We start from the raw sequence: 2,692 nt of genomic DNA, 5'->3' as shown, positions 1-2,692 counted from the left end.
AGAGGTATGTTCCAAATGTAGCTATGGAAAAGTAGGCCAGTGGATCAGATGCTGGCTTTTGAAGAGCAAAACAATGTTAGGGAAGGAGAAGTGTGGCTTATGCATAAAGAACTGTTTCTATGCACTGTGGATAACAAGCAAAGATGAGATTTAATACTTATACACATGAGAATGCATATCGATGACATATCATGAAATGTAAAGACAGCACTTGTAAGTATTTGGAGAGCACCTGCTCTGTGCCTGCCATTGGGGTGGAAGTGTCAGCATCTTCTTTTTGACATTTCCTAGTGTATTAGTTCATGTTCAGCCTCAGACTTAAAACCAACATGAAAACGACAGACTGAGAAGCTTGCCTTTACATATACAAACAGTGATATATGTTGGCACTTCGGGGCAACATTTGTTCTCTGTCAGCACTTCATTGACGACTTAAAGTTCCTTTATGTTGACTTTGGCAAGGAGAGGGCCAACAAAAGCTAAAACAATAGATTGAAATGCGTAATGCATTATCCTTGATTGTGTTACTATATTTGTTTTTCCCTTGGAGTAGCCAAAGCTGCCGCAGAAGCTGAAACAGTTGAGCTCTTGTTAAGCTATCTGCACAATGCCTAAACAGTTATTGAAAAGCTAAAAAAAAAAAATTGTGTATTCAACCAGTTTCTGCCTCAGGACAAACGAATATTTAGCTCATCTTTAGTATCACATTACTCCCAAACTAGAGTAGAATCTAATCAATTGCAGAAAGCTGAGTATAATATATAAATTATCTCCAAAGTTATTTAAAACAAAACTTATTACTGATTCGGAATTGCATATGCATTCATTTAATTGTATATATTGGACAAAGTTTCCTTAGAAAATAAAAGAAATGATTTATTTAAAAATAAGTTTGTATTAGGTTGAAAGGCCCCAATTCAGTTTTTTATTTTGAAAATCATTAATCACATGCATGTTTGCTATACAAAGTTAATATGAACATAATTAAATATCTTAATCTTTTAAAAGGCAAATAAACTATTGAGTAAGATGAATGGAACTTCCAGTATTTAAAATGCAATTGTAGTTAAGCATGTGTTTTTCTGTCTTTGAAGAAAATTATCTTTTTTGACTCATAATTTCTTTGGCATACAACTTATACAAATTAAATTGATGTTGCACTAGGCTTTTTATATTGTGTATGGATTTTAAAATAAAGGAAGATAACATAAAAATAAAGGTTTTGTATGTTCCTTTTAATACATTTGAAAAAAAGTTTTTAAAAAAATTAATCACAAATTGAGTCCTTAGATACTTTATGCATTAAAAGTCCCTGCTGACTTCTATGAGGTGTGAACTTATCCAGATTGTCAGCTTTGTTAATAATAAAATGCTAAAAAAAAATTGCTAAATTGAAGCTTTAATAGGTATGCAAATCAGGAAAACGCAAAATGTTTAAATGTGCAAGTGCATGGTTTCCTATAAAAAGCACTAAATTCAAAGTTACTCTCTCTTTTCTTTTTCTGGAAGTTATCATAATTAACTAAAAAGTCACAAGAAACATTTGTGACTATAGCTTAAGCTTATTTTTCACATATCCATCACACATAATGAGCTAAGGGACTTTTCTCAAATGTTGTGATTAACATTCACCTTTTCATGAACCCTATGCTTAGAAAAATATCAAAAAAGAAAAATTTCAGGAAACGACAAAACACAACAATAGGTATTTAAAGTCCTTATGTATAGGGACCTTAATTATATCAACAATGTGATCATCAGTGAACATTATTCCTTAGAGGATGCTCATGCTGCTTAATGGACTACGAGAAGGCTTTCAAAGAGCCAAACCTACTTATCAGCCTGGAGAAAGGTTTGCTGGGAATCATTGCTTAATAGACACAGCTTTCTCCTTTGCCAGGAACTTGATTTTTCAACACATTTCTCTAACAGATAGTGCCTTCAGAAATACACAGTTGTGTCCCATTGTGGAGGGCTGCAAAACTGTGACTGTAGAATGACATTCTCAAGTGCCACTGTGCCTCAAATCCAGCACTCAGTAAACATTTCTGACTTTCAGCTATGCCTTAGCCTTCCTAAGCAAGCGTGGAAAAGAAATAAATACTAACTCACATCATATTTTAGTGTGAATGTATTCAGAATTTTTTCCTTTATTAAACAAAAGGGACTATGACACACTGGTGCTACTGAGGAGAGAAAAAGAGCAGGTGTCTGGGAAAAGAGAGTCAAAGTGCACTGAAAAGAGCAAGACATGACTCTACGGGTGTGCCCTTTCCATAGTCCACAGTTTTGCAAATGGCTAACTCATAATGGAAAGACAAAATACTGCATACTTATATCATGACCCTGTTTGAGAGGCAATGCACAGCTATATATTAATGAGGATAACGCTGCTGAATGTATGAAATAAATAGACAATAAAAATAGCTAAATGTGACTCTCAATTGTTCTTTCTGAAATGTAATATGGATATAATTATGAACACTGAAAATACACATACAAGATCATTTTTGGTATAAGGTGTGATGTAGTTTTTTTTTTTTTCTTTCTTTCTTTCTGTCTTTTCTCCCTTGCTCTCATTCTACACAAGCAGATAATTGACTTCTTTCTTGTCTTAAGGAGAGGTGTGTGGTTGGGTAAAGAACATAAGTTGGCTAAAACAGTCTTTCTTACCTTTGAAACCTGTATTTTT

General features: G+C 33.5%; 1 annotated feature.

The window, feature by feature from the left end:
* Positions 217 to 788: an enhancer, noted in NCBI's record as "NANOG hESC enhancer chr14:84908741-84909312 (GRCh37/hg19 assembly coordinates)". NCBI's record gives its function as "activates a minimal SCP1, AML or CMV promoter by ChIP-STARR-seq in naive H9 embryonic stem cells {active_cell/tissue: H9 hESC(naive)}" and the evidence as "EXISTENCE:reporter gene assay evidence [ECO:0000049][PMID:30033119]".

Source organism: Homo sapiens, chromosome 14 (genome assembly GCF_000001405.40).
Source record: "Homo sapiens chromosome 14, GRCh38.p14 Primary Assembly".
NCBI lineage: Eukaryota > Metazoa > Chordata > Mammalia > Primates > Hominidae > Homo > Homo sapiens.
Note: the sequence above shows the minus strand (reverse complement) of the source record. Positions and strands in the feature narration are given on the sequence as shown.